Below are 17,825 nucleotides of genomic sequence, written 5' to 3' on the forward strand. Positions count from 1 at the left end.
AGGCAGATCGGGTATGTGGTCATCCGCCCATTGCATAGCATGTGTGGGAGTTGGGGAGACCAGACATGGGTCTCGCCACCTCTCCACTGGCCCGACCTCCCTGCAGGCCCCCAGGACAGGGTTAGCATCTGCTTGCTGGCAGGCCTGGCCACCAGAGATTTTTTCTTATGTCTAAGGTCCCTGTAGTTGTGGTTCACAGGATGGGGGCTGCTCCTGAGATTCAGCACCACACAGGCACTGCACAGCACTGTGCCATGGTGGTGGGCACTCGCTTTCCAGATAGGGCCCATGTTGCCAGCAGGCATGATGCATCATTTACCCTACCTTGAGTGCAATATGTGGTTTTATAGAAAAAAACTTGGGCCAGGTGCGGTGGCTCACACCTGTAATCCCAGCACTTTAGGAGGCCAAGGCGGGCGGATCACAAGGTCAGGAACTCAATACCAGCCTTGCTAATATAGTGAAACCTTGTCTCTATGAAAAATACAAGAATTAGCCAGATGTGGTGGTGGGCGCCTGTAGTCCCAGCTACTCCAGAGGCTAAGGCAGGAGAATCACTTGAACCCAGGAGGCGGAAGTTGCGGTGAGCCAAGATCATGCCACTGCACTCCAGCCTAGGCGACAGAGCAAAACTCCATCTCAAAAAAAAAAAAAAAAAAGAAAGAAAAGGAAAAGTATTTGTAGATGAATGAAGGTGATTCCTTTGAATATTGAAAATGATTTTATTTTAGCCATTGGTCTGACACTCATTCCGATGGGGTGACATGTGTCCCTGCCTTAGTCAGCAGAGCACAGGAGTGTGCTACACCTCCCCTCATCTGAAGATTCAGCCCATGAGCAGGAACGCCTGTCTTTGTGTCATACCAACAGAGAGGATGTGTCTGGTTTCACCATTCACTGCAGAGGCAGAAATTACCCAGAAAGAAGAGATAGTCTGTTCCCGGGAGTGTGTCCTTTTGACCCAGCATGGGGGTCATCTCCCTTCCTTGGCCAGGACCCCCAACCTGAACACAGAGGTAGAGAACATGTGAAGGGCTCCCATTCCCAGGTGGTCCAGGGTGCAAGCTCTGAGCCTGTGGTCCTGGTCACTGCCCTTTTCTCCACAGCATGGCAGTCACCATCCTGGGCTGGGGTACAGAGGGGCTTTGCAGAGATCAGCATAACAAAAGCATCACTGAGATGCTGCAATAGGAAACCGTGATACCTTCGTGGGCTGCCAAGGCAGCCTAAGCTATTTGTTGCTGCACTCAGTGTCCCCAGACAGCTGTGTGGCTGTCACTGCCTCTGGTGTGTCCATTTTACTTCTCTTCTCCTGCCTCAGCTTCTGCTCTGAACTCTGTCTCTAACTTACAAGAAATCAAGCTCACTGGATTCTGAGCTCTTCGGGGTCAAGGACTGTGTCAGTAGTTCATGTCTCTTTCTAGAGATCACAGCTTAGTATCTGGCACAGAGCAGATACTCAGCCAATGCCAAATGATTCATTTGCCAGAAGGCTGAATTTCATCCATAATCCTAGTCAATGCAAATACATTTTGCCGGTGGGGTGTGTTTGTCCTCTGAAGGCGTTTTCCCAGGCTTTGTAAATACATACAGGCCATTTAGAAATTTGAATGTCAAAGAGTAAAGGAGCTTAGAAAGTAAGCATTGGAGAAGTGTGGGAGGGTGGTATTATTTACAAAACATTCCTGGGTCCTTGTGAGTTCTATACACCCTTGATGAGCACTGATTCTGGGCCAGGCCAGACACCCAGCTGGACCCAGGAGATACTGAGGTGAGTAAAGCCAAAATGCCTCCATTCAGCAGGAGGCGGGCAGTCACACCAAAGTGATAAAGGCACAAAATGCAGAGGCAGCAGAGGAGCAATGACTACCTTGTTCCAGGACTCTGTGACCTCAGGGAGAGCTTTCAGAGGAGGACATCTGTGCAAGGCTTGGAAGGATGAACACAAATTTGCCTAGCAGAAAAGGGAGCCAAGCAAATCCTGATGGAGAACAGCTTGGGTGAGAGTGTGAGCCACAGGATTGAGGGGCTCAGGCATGTAACTGGAGGAGCAGAAAGAATGAGGGGAGATAAAGTTGGGAGGTCAGCAGAGGTCAGTCACAGAAGGTTTTGAATCCTGGTGAGGGAGCAATGGGTGCTGCACAAGGGACATGGGCCTGGAGGAGATGCAGTTAGCTCTGAGTGAAGATGGAGCATGCCATCCACCAGGGAACCACAAGATACAATAGAAATAAGAACCCTGAGAAGCCTGCACAAAGAATGAGGGGCCCAGGGGTAGCACCAAGAAGGTCCCTGTCAGAGACCAGCTTTGAACGGAGACAGAAAAGACTCTTGAGGGCCTCAGCTGCTGCAAACCTCCTCAATAAATCATATTTTACCTTCCAATATTTGCTAAAGAATACTAACTATTGGAAGAGCAATGGCCCATTGATAATAATTATTCCCTCAATGTACATTTTTTACAATTCTCAAAATGCTCTCGGTCCAGTCTCTCATGGGAACCCCCATAAAATCCCATTTTACAAATAGGGAAATGAGGCCCTGTGATGTCACACCGAGGTTTGCAGCAGTTCCAGGATAGAAAATAGGAAGCACTTTCATCTCAGCCCTGGGTATAAGTCTCAAAATTCCTTTTCGGGGAGGGGGTCCTTGAGGCCATCCAGCAGCCCATAGTCCAAGTCTTTTTCTTCCTCCTTGGGCTTCTCCACACCTGTATCCAAAGCTTCCTTCTCCTCCTTTGTTCTCAGGTACCACTACCAGTTGTTGGGCAGGGAGACCTCCTGCTGCTGCCCATCCTATGTTGCATCCTCCAACATGGGTGCACTGTGGTTCAGCCAGCACCTATACCACCTGCAGCCCAGGGCTCCTGTGGTGGGCCTGAGGTTCCTCCCTATCAAATGGAGATATGCTGAGGTTGCTGCCTTTGCTGAAGCCCATGTCCAGGTCATCTTGGGGGTGGCCAAGGTTACAGGGTCCTGGGGACAGGCCAGAGGGCTGCAGGAGCAAAAACCAAGAGGATGAGGGGATCTCTGGGTCAGACCGCCTGGATCCACATCCCAGAGACTAGCTGCAAGGCCTGAGGAAGAATGGTTCACTTCTCTGGGTGTCAGTTTCCTCCCCTGTAAAGTGGGAGGTATAACAGATTCACTCCTACAGTTGTCTCTGAGCTTTATAGCAGGTAATGTGTGCAAAGTACTTCCCATAAGGCCTGGCACATGGTAGGTGATAATAAATAATAAACAGGGTTACTATGATATCATCATCTGAGCTAGGTCACTCATGCACCTCTCCAATGCTTCAGGGTGCCCCTCCATCCCTCACAGGGTAGCAGCAAGTGAAAGGGATCCCCCTGGCCTTGAGGAGCTCACATCTACTTATTTCCCAGGGGTCTCTGTCCAGTGCCCACACATGCCTGGCATGTAGTAGGTGCCTCATCCACATCTGGTGAAAGAGTGGAAAGCAGGTCATTATCATGTATTGTTTGGCACAGAATCTGCAGTAGGGGACAGAGAAGTGAGTGACTGTAGTTGTGCCCACCAGTTCCTGTCCCTGAACTTTCAGGGATCAAGAGGCCTTAGCAAGTCTAGTACCAGGGAGTGGGCACTGTGTGGTGGAGCAGGAGGCAGGTCTTAAGAAAGGCAGTGGGGTGAGGAGAGGAGATCTGCCTTTGAGGTCTGGGAGATCCTCTACCAGGACCTCAACAAAGGCCCCAGGAAGGTCATCCCTCCTCCCAGAATCTCTCTATACTCTTCTATATAATGGGGCTAGCCTGGAAGAGATACTTGCACAACCATGTTCAGAGCAGCATCATCCACAATAACCAAAAGGTGGAAGCAACCCAAGTGTCCGTGGATGGATGGACGGATCAACAAAATGCTGTCTATGCATACAGTGGAATAGTGTTCAGCCTTGAAAAGGCAGGAGATTCTGACACCTGCAGTGTCAAGAATGAACCTTGAGGACATTAGGCTGAGCAAAATAAGCCAGACCAAAAAGACAAATGTTGTATTATTCCACTTTTCTAAGGCACCTAGAGTCATCAAATCTATAGAGACAGACTGGACAATGGTGGCTACCAGGTCCTGGGGAGGGTGGTGATTGGGGAGTTGTTTTTAAATGAGTTACAGAATTGTAGTTTTACAAGATGAAAAGCATTCTGGAAATTGGTTGCACAACATTGCGAATGTATTTAATGCCACTGAAATGTAAATTTAAACATAGCTAGACAGTAAATTTTAGTTTATTTTACCAGAATTTTTATAATGGGGTAGTTATGCCTGTCTCCTTGTGTTGCTGTAGGATTTCATGAGATAACATATAAGGAACCACCCAGCATGTTGCCTGGCACATAGTAACTACTGTATTATACTGGGTTCATAAATAGCACTCCCCCTTTTCCCTTCCCACAGAGTGCAGTGAATAGAAGACACTTCTCTGCACCCCAAAAGCTCCATGCTGATTGTGAGAAGGAAATGCTGGATGGAGGGGTTCCTGGAACTACTGTGAGGGGTGAGCTTTCTCCAGATGTCTAGAAATGAGGCAGGGACCCTACATCTTCCACCCCCACTAAGGTTACCTTGCAGTTCCCAGCTGGCTCTATACTTCCTGGAAACTGCCACTTTTCTGCCTCCATTACCTCATAGCCCTGTCAGCACCATTATCTTCATCACCATGATCGCCATCACCATCCTTACAATCACCAACACTATCATCATCGCCATCACCATTCTTACCCTCGCCATTCTCACCATCATTATCATCATTACTATCACTATCATCGTCACTATCACCATTCTCACCATCATCCTCATCATCATCACCATTATCCTTACCATAACTATCACTATTATCATCACCACCTTTGCCATCACCATCCTTATCATCACCATCACAATCACCACCATCACCTTTCTCACCATCACCTTGTTCACCTTTACCATTCTCACCATCATCATCACCTTCATCATCCTCAACATAACTATCACTTCATTATCACCACCTCCACCTTCACCATCACCATCCTCACCATCATCATCACCACCATCACAAGGATCCTTGCTACATGAAACCATGCATTCTGGGTAGCAGGGCTCTTGGGTCAGGGCTTCTAACACATCTTGTAGGATAGAAACCCAGCCCCTCAGGGTCTCACAGTTGGTGAAGTAACTGATTCTTGTGAGGTCATATTCCTCTGGGTGATGTGGGATGTCACAAGACCAATAAATATGGGCTGAAGCCCATCGCATCACTTCTTTTCTTGTAAAATAAGCTCCATCATCAGTAGTAATTGTATGATAGCAGAGAATAAGAACTCAGCAAATGTAAATAATTTGATGCTATCAGAAGCATATGAAGTGGAGTCCATATTCTGATATGCATCTATTCCAGTGAGGGCAATTCTTTACCACTTCCATGAAGGAAGGGAAAAAATATTATTACCACATTACCAGAAATCTGTCTGGTCTAGGCAAGGCAGTTCCTCTATCCAGGGTCTCATTATTGCTCATTGTCGGCCGTCAGGGCACTCATCTGGGCAGTAGGCAGCACTGCTGCAGGGAAGTTCACGTTATTGGAAACATGTAGCATCTTCTCCTGCTACCATCGCCACATTGTCCATGAACCCACTGGGCAAATGATGAGGAATCTGGGAAAAGATCTCATAACCAGAATATAATCATCCACATCAGGATATCAGCATTCACCCAACACTACTGTCCAATCAACAGACGCTATAATCTCACCCAAATTTTCTCAGTTGTGCCCTAAATACAGTTTTTTTGAACTTTGTAATCCAGGATCCAATCCAGGATTTCCCATTGCATTAATTGTCATGTCTCCTAAGCTCTTTCAACTTCAAAGAGTTCCTCTTTTTTTCCCTATTTTTCATAACCTTAAGAGTTTTAAGAGCATAAGCATTTATGAAGGATGTGTTCACCTTTTTCCATCTGATGTGTTTCCACATCCAGACTTAGGTCATGTATCTTTCACAAGAAAATCACAGAAATAATGCTGTGGTCTTCCTAGGACATCCCAGCAGGAGGCACATGATCAAGTTTGTGCCAGATTTGTCCACCACAAAGTCATCATTCTTCCAATTGTAATTGAGAAGTATTTCATATGAAGATATTAATTACACATACACATGAATGCATATTTATATGTAACATACATACAAAATATTATTTCAATGTCTAACCAATATAAAAGTTATTAATTAGATATGTTTAATTTTATTTCCTACTAAGTCTTCAAAATCTGGTGTGTGTTTTACCCTGACAGCACATCTCAGTCCAGCCTAGCCACATTTCAAGTGTTCAATATTCACATGGCTGTGGCTACCATATTTGTTAGGGCAGCACTAAAGCACTAAAGAACTTCTTCCTTGGAGAAGTTCTAAGCTTTCAAAATGTTTGGCAAATACATTTTATAAAATTCTTCAGAATCCATAAATAGGCAATTACACATTTAGTAAGCCATAGAATCCAACATGGCATTAAAAATGAATCCCTCGACAAAAAAGAAGGTAGGCAACATTTTCTTCAGACCAAATGGACAAATCAATTATGATTACCTCACATGCCCATTATTATTTATTAACATCTTTCATTAATACCCCCAAACCCCATCAACAGGTAAATGAATAAATGCATTGAGGCCTATCTGAACAATGTCCCAATTCCTTACCATTCTTACTTCTTTTGCAAGCAGAAAAGACTCAGTATTAGCAAAGACTATTCAGATAGTTTGTTCTTATGCCAGTAGTTGTAATTTTCTGGAGGTCTATGTGATATCAATTATGTACTTCAATACCTCTCACAAGTACTTTTCCTGTTTGGCCATTTTCTGCGGTATATCCATGTTCCTATTTTCTCTATTCTTTTATTTCTATCCTAGACTTTTCTTTTATCCTATAATTCTTTATCCTAAAAATATTAATTTAAGGATAATGTCACAAAATATTATATTTCTTCAGATGATACTCCAAATTGATACTTAATATACAGAAATGACTATCATGGACATAACCCACAACATGTGAAATGTATGGCTCATTCTACTGACATTATACAGGAAAGTTAATGACAACTGAATTTCTAGTCATTTTCCACCCAACAAGTTGCTTATAAAATGTCAAGGAATTGTAGGTATGTACACAGTGGCTATTTTTGGGTGGGGTGTTCAGCAACTCTCCTCTTGAGAGCCCCCCTTTTCTTTGAGGACCATTTCAATGAGAACCAACTAAGCTTGACCCAACCTACCAGCCCCAGCCCTAGAGGTGATCATGATGCCCAGCTCTGGTGAAAGACTCTACCCTTGGATCATAGCAACTGTTTCAGTACTTTTTTTTTGGAATCATCAGGAAGGACTCTTGCTTTTTCTAGCACTGTGGTCTGTGAGGACAAAGTAAGTGTGTTATTTGTAGCACTATCTCTTGCTACAGAGAGGGAAGAGAGTCATCTTCAGAAGGAAAAAATGAGGCTAAAACAAAAGGAAAAGTGTCAAGAGAAAGAAGGAGAACATTTCTTGATGATTTTATATAAGCCCCTGGGTCCAGCTATGCATGACAGCAACTTGGGTTAAAGCTCTGTCGCTTATGGGACCATTGACTTAAATATAAAATAAAGTATTAAAAGCTATGAACTTTTAGATGAAAATACAGAAAAAAAATCTTTGTAATATTCAGTTAATCAAAAATGTCTTAGATGAAGCCCCAAAAACCAAATGCACAAGAACAATTAATAAATTGGACCCCATCAAAATTAAGAGCATCTGCTATTTGAAAGATAGTGTTATGAGAACAAAAAAGAAAACTCAAGGGGAAAATACTGGCAAGTCTCATATCTAATAAGGGATTTGAATCCAGAGTATATAAAGAAACTATTAAAATTTAATAATGAGAAAATAAGCAAAGAAAAAAACAAAAAAGAAAGAAGCAAAATAAACGTGAACATACACTTTACCAAATATATACAGATGGCATGTACGTACATAGATACTAAATATTATTAGGCATTAGGGAACCACAATAAAATACTATTGTACAAACAGGAAAATGTCTAAAATTTTAAAAGAAGGCCCATACAAAATGTTGGCAAGAGTGTGGAATTCTTATATACTGCTGATAAAAATATAAAATGGTACAACCATTTTGGCAAACATTTTGACAGTCTCTTAAAACTAAACCTAAACCTATTAATTATTACACTCCTAATGTTTACTCAAAGTTAGAAGAACTTATATACATGAATGTTCATTGCAAATGTATTTGCATAAGTCCAAAACCGGAAGCAATGCAAAAACCCATCAACAGGCAAATGTATATATAAGTTGTGACCGATCTGCACAATAGAATACTACTCAGTCATAAAATTAATGGCCTATTGATGCCTGCAATATAGCTGAATCTCAAAATAATTATGCTGTGTGAAAGATGCCAGACCCCTCCTAAAAAGGGTCCATACTACACTTCATTTGTATAAATGTCTAGACAAGGCAAACTATTTTATAGTGACAGATTGGTGATTGCCAGGGAGAGTGGTAAGGTAGGAAGATAGAAAAAGTTTGGGATTATAAAAGGGCAAGGGGAAACTTTTATGAGTGCTGGATATGTTCATTATTTTTATTTTGGTGATGGATTTGCAAGTATACATAAAAAATAACATGCAATGGAAGTAGAAACAGTAATTTTGTTTCTTTCTTAAAAAAGCACAATTTACTTACTAATGGGATGTGTGTGCCTGTTGGGCACACAGCACAACTTTTCAAATCTTAAAATCGGACTGGATCTCAACCACTGGACCTTATTCCTATTCCACACTGACTTTAGCACAATACTTGCTTTTATCGCGGTAATTAACACCACCCACCTTAAAGGTAAAGAAATGCACTTCTAACTAACTACTTTTGAAACTCTGAACTGCCTCAGGCTAGTAGTTCTTAAGGTCTCCAGCAAATGTTGCTTCGTTTCTCTCAAAAATATACAGCCTGGGCAACATGGCAAAACCCCATCTCTACTACAATTAGAAAACTTAGCCAGGCATAGTGGTGCATGCCTGTTGTCCCAGCTACTCAGGGAGGCAGAGGCTGCAGTGAGCGTAGACCTCACCACTCCACTCCAGCCTGGGGGACAGAGTGAGACCCCCATCTCGAATACACACACACACATACACAGACTCACACGCTATCCACTGGTGCCCCTGTCAGTTAAACACAGCATCTCAGGGCACCTTAGCACACAGTGTGAGAGCCGTGGTCCTAAACACTTCAATTAAAAGTGAAACATCTCTGGCTGGATTTTTAGAATATTTACTTTTTAATGTTTTATATTATATTTACTTTTATGTTTTAATTAATTTATCTGAATACATGAATCCAGACATTTGGAAGTAAAACAATGGAAAACATGCCTGCAAACACTAATCAGCACAAAGCTCATGTTGCTATGTTATTATTGCCAGTTTAGACTTAAGCCAAGAAATATTGCTAAGATAAAAAAGATTTTACGATGTCAGTCACTAGAAAAGTATGCCAATTTTAAATATGTATAAATATAAAATATCCCTTCAAGTTATTTAATACAGAAACTGATATAACTAAAAGAAAAATGGACTAATCTACAATATAGATTTTAACATACCTTTCAATTACCGATGGAACCAAGAGAAAAAAATCCATAAGAGAAAGGGAGATTGGATGAACACAATGAACAAACTTGACATAAACTGACATATACAGAACGTGACACTCAACAACTACTGAATACACATCCTTTTCCAGTGCACGTATCATATTTACCAACATAGATTATATGTCAGAATTTAAAGGGACTCATCAGAGTATTCAGTCGTGGGATTTTGCCTAAACTTGTCTGGCCTTCAACAGGGTTCAAATACAGTTAAATTCTTATTTCATCTAAAGAGTCCTATCCTTTTTTTTGGAAATTTTACCGCAACAATCTAAATTTGCATAACAACTGAACCCAGCCCTTGGAACTTGAAGTTTATTCTAGCCAAAGGCAGATTAAACTGTCTAAGTAGTAATGTCCTTCAAATTGTTGTCCCCTGCTCCAGTAACGGAGTATAGCTCCAAGAAGCTAATAGACTGTTTGTACTTCATACTATACATTCTATGTTACATCAAAACACGGTATAAAGCCTTGAAATCAGCAGCAGAGAGAAAATGAGATCAACAACCATCTAGCTGTGACCTCACTACTTAGTAATTACGCTTTTAGCTGACTCCTTTACTTGATTCCTAACTGCTTATTTCTGGCAGGGTAGCACTAATCCCTGACCAAGCTGACCTTTTAAGAAGTGAGCAGAACGAAAAGGCTCTACCACCAGTGATCAGTTTAACAAGCTGCAACACTAATCACTGGCTGCAACTCTAGTCACTGGCTGCAACTCATATTGTGGGTTTTAAGAGCTCAGAATTAACATGGAAATACTATTGACTCCAAAAGAAACTCAGAAATCTCTGGGAATCCAGCAAAGATAGAAAGGGTCCTCTCAATAGTCACCACTCACACTTTGCTTTGTTTTGGTAACTATTTTTATTACATACGGAGAATATCAAAAAAGTATGCCTTTTCCTCATTGTGAATGCTAACCCTAAAATGGTAAGGCCCTTGCAGGTTGAAACCCCCAGGCTCTCACTGGCCCTTCAACAGAAGGCAGTGAAGTCACCTGCAAGAGTGATCACCCAAAAGCTTCCAGGCTGGACGAGTTGGGACTCAGTTGCCAAATTCACAGTTCTCTTGGGACACGGTTATTTATGGAGCTCCTGAAGATGAGAAATTCCACCCAGGAAATTCTGGTTATAAAAATTATTCACGGCCGGGCGCGGTGGCTCACGCCTGTAATCCCAGCACTTTGGGAGGCCGAGGCGGGTGGATCACGAGGTCAGGAGATCGAGACCATCCTGGCTAACATGGTGAAACCCCGTCTCTACTAAAAATACAAAAAATTAGCCGGGCGCGGTGGCGGGCGCCTGTAGTCCCAGCTACTCGGGAGGCTGAGGCAGGAGAATGGCGTGAACCCGGGAGGCGGAGCTTGCAGTGAGCCGAGATCACGCCACTGCCCTCCAGCCTGGGCGACAGAGCAAGACTCCGTCTCAAAAAAAAAAAATTATTCACATCTAATTATCTCAGGAGACATCAACACAGCAATGTTGAAAATTTCCCATTAATTGTTAATCCATGGAGAAAAACTGGACAATTATTTTTTAAAATATGAAAAGCTTCATATAATACAAATTATACTCCCACATGTGATTCAATTTCTATTAATGGCAGAGAAGTTAATAATTACGAATTGCCAGTGGTTAAAAAAAATAAATCATTCGGCCGGGCGCGGTGGCTCACGCCTGTAATCCCAGCACTTTGGGAGGCCGAGGCGGGTGGATCATGAGGTCAGGAGATCGAGACCATCCTGGCTAACAAGGTGAAACCCCCTCTCTACTAAAAATACAAAAAATTAGCCGGGCGCGGTGGCGGGCGCCTGTAGTCCCAGCTACTCGGGAGGCTGAGGCAGGAGAATGGCGTGAACCCGGGAAGCGGAGCTTGCAGTGAGCCGAGATTGCGCCACTGCAGTCCGCAGTCCGGCCTGGGCGACAGAGCAAGATTCCGTCTCAAAAAAAAAAAAAATAAATAAAATAAATCATTCATCGTTGGAGACGTGCAGAAGGTTTAAAAGAGGTAAGAATTAGTTTTTGGGTTTGGGGCGTTTTACGCTTTCCAAAAGGTTTTGCTCTTTTTTTTTGCTCATGGCTTTCTCTCTCTCTCTCTCTTTCTTTCTGATTTCAGTTTCTTTTGATTTCTCCTGCTTAGAAATGGTGAGAGAACTTTGGATGTGGAACGTGGAGGAGGAGGAACACGAAGTGGGGATCTCCACTTGGGGTGGTCAGCACTGCGGGTGCCCAGCAAAGTCACTGCCTGGTCCACATCCCGGAGGGGTCTCTGCGCCTCAGTCGGCATCGCAGCTGATGGTGAAACTTTTGGTGTGGCAGAAGAGTGTCCACAAACTTCGGAAGGTATCCGCTACATCCTCCATAGCCGTGTATCCCTGCCGAGGGCGATCTTCTGGGGGAGCGGAAAGTCCTGCTCATGGGCCAGGGCTGGCTGGCTGGAGCCACTTGCGCGGCGCAGCCCTGGCGGAGGTTCAGGCGGCCCCGGTGTCGCAAGCGGCTGTGAGTGATGCCTCCTTGGGGCCGGAGTGGTCCCAGGAAGGCTGCAGACCAGGGCTGACCAGCGGGCAGCATGGTGGCCACGATGGAAGGTGATGGGGTTCGCAGCGCCAGGGGACCCAGCAGAGCCCGAGCCCGGGCATCCCGCATCTCCAGCCAGCATCGCGGGTAGGCCTGGCGCTGGTGAAGTGGCGGCCAGTGCACAAGGCCCATGACCCAGTCCCAGAGGCCAGCCCATTGTCAGCTAACTTCAGGAACCCCGGGCCAGCTGAGGCCCCGGGCCCCATGGGCAAGACAAAGGGCAGAGGGTCCGCAGGCGGGGCCGAGTGCAGGCAGTGCAGGCCTGGCTCCACCGCCGCGGAGCTCGCAGGGCGCAGCAGGCATCGGGCAGTGACCAGGGCTTCCAGAGGAGGCTGTGCACCCCTGCAAAGGCTCCTGCCCTGCGTCCAGCCTATCCGCGGAGACTCCACGTGCACCCCCTCCTCATTGTCCTTGTCTAGGGCCGCGGCAAGGTCCTCGCTCCCATGGCATGGCTCCGGGGCACAGGAGCCTGGGCTGAGCAGGTGGAGTAGGGTGAGCTCCGCCAAGAACCCAGTGAGAGTGGCGCCCCAGGGCGGCACAGGAGGCCGCATTTAACGTGTCAATCATCTCAAAGATTTTATGGCATCTTCTTTTTGACATCTTATAATATCTATAATGTTTATTATATCTTGTGATATAATTATTAACACCACTTCATTGTGATTATTATGATTATTTTTATAACAACACATCTTCAATTATTAATATTCCCAGTTGCTAGAGAAAAATGAAAACGACTAGTTTTGAAAGCCTCACCTCTGCCAATGGAAGCACATTCAAGCATGTCGCCAACGCAATCCACTTTCCACCACTTTCACAAAAAACGTTACTGCACAATTATACTATCCTACCCTCATATACTTTTTTTGTGTGTGTGTACTTGTATGTATGTATGTTACATATGAGATATATATATATATATATATATATATGTATATATATATAAAGTATGCCAGAGATGAACAAGTATTAGAAAATTAAATGCAGACAGGTCATGTCAGTGCTATGTATAATGTGGTGTACTAAGTATAGATGTTCAACAGTGTGGGATCTAGGCTGGAACAAGACTCCTAGTCTTAAGCAATTCTTTCTAGGTTCAGTCTCTGGAAATAATGCCTTGAATCAAATGTGTGAGAAAATCAATGGGTTTTAAAGACTATTCTATGTCAACTATAACATTTAATTTGGGGATTTCTGTCCCTTATAATGTCTACCTCATTTTGGATGGAATCCTTGAGGCCTGGTTTATTTTTCTTTTCCTTTCTACAGATCGCTGCTCAGAGTGAGGAATGGAGTTGTGTTTTGAATAAAATATCCACGCATCCTTTTGTGAGCAAGGAGCATGATGGTACTTAGACCTACCATTTCTCGTTATGGTGGTTGCGGTTACAGTGGGGCTGGGGTGTTTACCTGGAGCCTGGACATCCACTGGGACATGATACCCACTGGGAATTTTTTGTGTCAATCTGGTCTCTGATGTCCACCTGGGGATTGGGTATCCACCTAAGGCCTGATGTTTACCTGGAGCCAGATGTGCACCTGAGACCTGATGTCTATCTGTGGCCTTATGTTCCCCTGGGGACCGATGCACACCTGAAGGATAGGTATTCATCTGGGGCCTGATACCCACCAGTAGTATGGGTGTCAACCTTGGGGCTAGTGTTCAGCTGGCGTCCACTGTCTACTTGGGGCCTGGTGTACACATGGGGCCTGGGCATCCACCTGAGACTTGATGTTTAATATGGTCTGGAGTTCTTTTGGGGCCTGTTGTACCCTGGAGCCTGGGTGTACACCTGGAGCCTGATGTCCCAGGTGAACAACTGGGTCCCAGGTGATCTTCAGGCCCTAGGTGAAAACTCCAGGCTCTAAGTGGACAACCAGGCTCCAGGCTGATGTTTACTGGGGCCAGATGTCTACCAGGCCCCAGGTGAAATCCCCAGGCTCCAAATGGACAACATAGCCCCAGGTTCCAGGTAGACATTGGAATCCAAATCAACACCAGGCCCCAGATGGACACCCAGGCCTGTGGTGGACATCAGACTGCAGAAGGTCATCTGGCTCGAGGTGGACATCAAGCCCCAGGTGGATACCTAGTCCCCAGGTGGATATCAGGCCCCACTTTGACACCAGTCCCTGGGTAGATACCTTGGCCTCAGGTGGATATCCAGTCTCTAGCTAAGCATCAGGCTCCAGGGGGACCCAGGCCCTAGCTGACTGGGGACTAGTGTTCATATGGGGCCACATGTCCATCTGGGCCCTAGGTGTCAACTTGTAGCCTGATGTCAACCTGGAAGCTGGTGTTCACCAGAGAGGACTAAAGTCCTCCTGGTGCCTGGTGTCCAACTTGGGACTTTGTGTCCACCTGGAGACCGATGTCCACTTGGGACCAGATGTCCAGCTGGAGCAAGATGTCCACCTGCAGCCTAAAACTTCACCTAAGGCCTGATGTTCCCCAGGGCCTACAGAGCCTATGTATCTACCTAGGGACTTGTGTCCAGGTGGGGCCTGAATTCCACCTGGGGCCTGGAATTAACCTGGGACCTGATGTCCACCTGAGACGTGGGTGTTCCTCTGGAGTCTGATATCTATCTGGGGCCCGGGTGTCCTCCTGTGGTCTGATGTCCACTTGTAGGCTGGTGTCCACCTGGGGCCTGGGTGTCCACCTAGGAACCTGATGTATACCTGAAGTCCAGTGTCTACGTGGGTACTGATGTCTACCAGGAAAGTGATATAAACCTGGGGCCTGATAGCCACCTGGGCCCTGAGTGTCCACATATGTTCTGATTTCTCTTTTGGCCTTAGTGTAGGGCCTGAGTGCCACCTGCTTCCTGATGTTCACCAGGAACCTAGGTATTCACTTGGGGCTTGCTGTTCACCTGGGACCTAATGTCCATGTGAGGCCTGGTATTCAGCTAGAGCCTGGGCATCCCCCTGTGGCCTGAAGTTCAGTTGCTGACTAGGAATTCCACTAAAGCTTGATGTCCACCTGGGGCATAGGTAACCACTTGTGGCCTAGTGTTGCCCTGAAGCCTAGGTGTCAACCCAGGGCATAATGTCCCCTTGGGGCCTGCTGTCCACCTGCAGACTGGTGTCTACATAGGGCCTGGTATCCACCTGGGGTCTGGTGTCTGCCTGGGGCCTAGTGTCCACCTGAAGACTGAGTATAGACCTCAGATCTGATGTATGCCTGGGGCCTATTTATCCACCTGGGGACTAGCATTCATCTGGGGCCTCATGTCCACTTAAGCCCTGGGTGTCAACCTGGTGCCTAATGGCCACCAGGGATCTATGTACTCACTTGGGGCCTGGTGCTCCCACAGGGCCTAGGTATAAACCTGGAGAATGATGTGCAGGTGGAGGTGGATGTCTTCCTGGGTGCTGGTGTTCACCTGGGGACAAGGGTCTCCCTGGGGACCAGTGTTTATCGGGAGCCTCATATGCACCTTGAACCTGCTGTCTACCTAGGGCCCGATGTCCATGTTAAGGCTGGGTGTCCACCTGGGACCTGGTTGTCCACTTGGGGCCTAATGTCCACCTAAGACCTAGTGTTCACCTAGGGCCTGGGTGTCCACCTGGAGCCTGATGTTCAGCTGGAGATGCATCCATCCGAAACCTAGGTATCCACCCAGGTTCTGGTGTCGACCTGGGGTCTTATGTCCACCTGGGGACTAGATATCTACCTGAGGCTTGATGTCCACCTGGAGCCCGATATCCACCTCAGAGCTGGGTGTCCACCCAAGTTCTGGTATCCACCCGGAGCCTGGTGTTCATCTGGGGCCCAGTGCCCACCTGGAACCTGGGTATCACCATGGGGCCTGGGTGTCCACTTGGAACGTGATGTGCACCTGGGACCTGAGTTTCCACCTAGGGCCTGATGACCACCGGAGACCCAGGTGTCCACCTGGGGTCTGATGTCTACCTGAAGCCTAGGTAACCACCTGTGCCTTGGTGTTACCTGTGCCTTGATTTCCACCTGAGCCTGATGTACACCTGGGGCCTGGGTGTCCATCTGAGGCCTGATGTACACCTCAAGTCCAGTGTCCACTTGTGGCCTGATGTCAACTTGGAAGCTGATATCCACCTGGGGACTGATGTTCTCCTGGGGTCTGATATCCAACTGGGATCAGATGTTCACCTAAGGCCTGGAGTTAATCTGGGGCCTGATGGTCACCAGGGACCCAGGTGTCCACCTAGGGCCTAGTGACCAACTAGGGCCTGATGTCCACCTGGAGTCTAGTATCCGCCTTGGCCCTGATGCTACTTGAGGCCTGGGTGTCTTCCTAGAACCTGAGTCCCCAACTGGGCCCTGATGTCCACCTGAGGCCTGGTGTCCTTGTAGGGCCTGATATCTACCTAAGGCCTGGGTATCCTCCTGCAGCCTGATGCTCACCTGTAGGCTGGTGTCCATATGGGGCCTGGGTGTTCACCTGTGAGCCTGATGTACACCTGGAGTCCGGTGTCCCCTTGGTTACTAATACGTACCAGGAAAATGGTATATACCTGGGGCCTGATATACACCTGGAGCCTGTGTGTCCACTTGAGCCCTGATGTCCACCTGGGGCCTGGTGTTTACCTGGGGCCTCTATCCACCCACTACCGAAAGTCAAGTTAGGAAAAGGGCCCAGGATAGGTGAGGAGCACAGAACAGGGACCTCATTCATAAGAAATTCTGCTGTAGAATGTGTGCTCTAAGCTCTTAAAACAGCTCTGCCTCAGGAAAGACTGTCCAGGGCATAGGAAGCCCACACACAGGGTGGGATGACAAGTTTGCATCTGGCACGGCTGGGAGCCCTGGGGGCCTCTGCCCTTTTGGCCGCGTTGTCTCCTGGCTTTTAGGGTGGTGGGATTCTCGGCTCTGATTGCAGCAGGTGGATTCACTTAGCTCTCCTCCCCTTTTAGCATTACTGTCTTCTGTAATAAACCTCTCACTTTGATCTGCCAGGCTGTCAAATGCTTTGATTGCCCTCTCTGTTTTGTTCCAATGGTTCATCAATCCAAATATCCACAACACAAGGACAGATTTTAGTCTCTTCATACAGTGGGATATTTCACAGCTATTAAAACAAATCAAATAAATGCTTGTGTATTGATATGCAAAGTTGTCCTGCATCAATAACTTTTAAACACATTTTATGATCCCACATCTATATCTATACATAATGTTTGCCACTGCTTAAACAAAACAAAATCTAAGCTTTAGACTCCAAATGGAATTACAGGGGAATCTTGATGTCTGTGTTCTGCAGTTCTGTCATGTTTGAAATTGTCAAATAAACATGGTGCCTTTCCAGTAGCCACTCAGAATTCCTCCTCTCTGTCCACAAAGCATTGTCACCCTCCCTGTCCCATTTGCCCCAGCCCTGTGGAGCTCGCTGAGCTGGCACCATCATCTCTTGTAATAGACGAAGACATTGAGGACCAGAGAGGGGAAGCACCTTGTTGACATCCCACAGCTCTGAGTCAAAGTGGACTTGGTCTCCCTTACTAGATGTTTCCTAAAGTCCAGGGAGCCCTGGAGGCCCAGGAATGTAAGGGCTGGAGCCTGGGGCTTTCTGTCCTGA

General features: G+C 46.1%; 1 long non-coding RNA gene and 1 pseudogene across 1 annotated transcript in view; one reads left to right on the top strand and one right to left on the bottom strand.

Annotated features, from left to right (window-relative positions):
• The window catches only part of FAM182A (family with sequence similarity 182 member A), a 32,304-nt gene extending 14,747 nt beyond the window's left edge, over positions 1-17,557 (top strand). The window contains exons 3-5 of the long non-coding RNA NR_026713.1: positions 4,410-4,509; positions 11,804-12,030; positions 13,534-17,557. This is a non-coding gene — a long non-coding RNA (family with sequence similarity 182 member A). The remainder of the gene's footprint in view (positions 1-4,409; positions 4,510-11,803; positions 12,031-13,533) is intronic.
• Positions 2,628-2,991, bottom strand: BSNDP3 (BSND pseudogene 3; annotated as a pseudogene).
• Positions 17,558-17,825: the final 268 nt, after the last annotated feature.

The sequence above is a fragment of the Homo sapiens genome, chromosome 20 (genome assembly GCF_000001405.40).
Source record: "Homo sapiens chromosome 20, GRCh38.p14 Primary Assembly".
Lineage (NCBI taxonomy): Eukaryota > Metazoa > Chordata > Mammalia > Primates > Hominidae > Homo > Homo sapiens.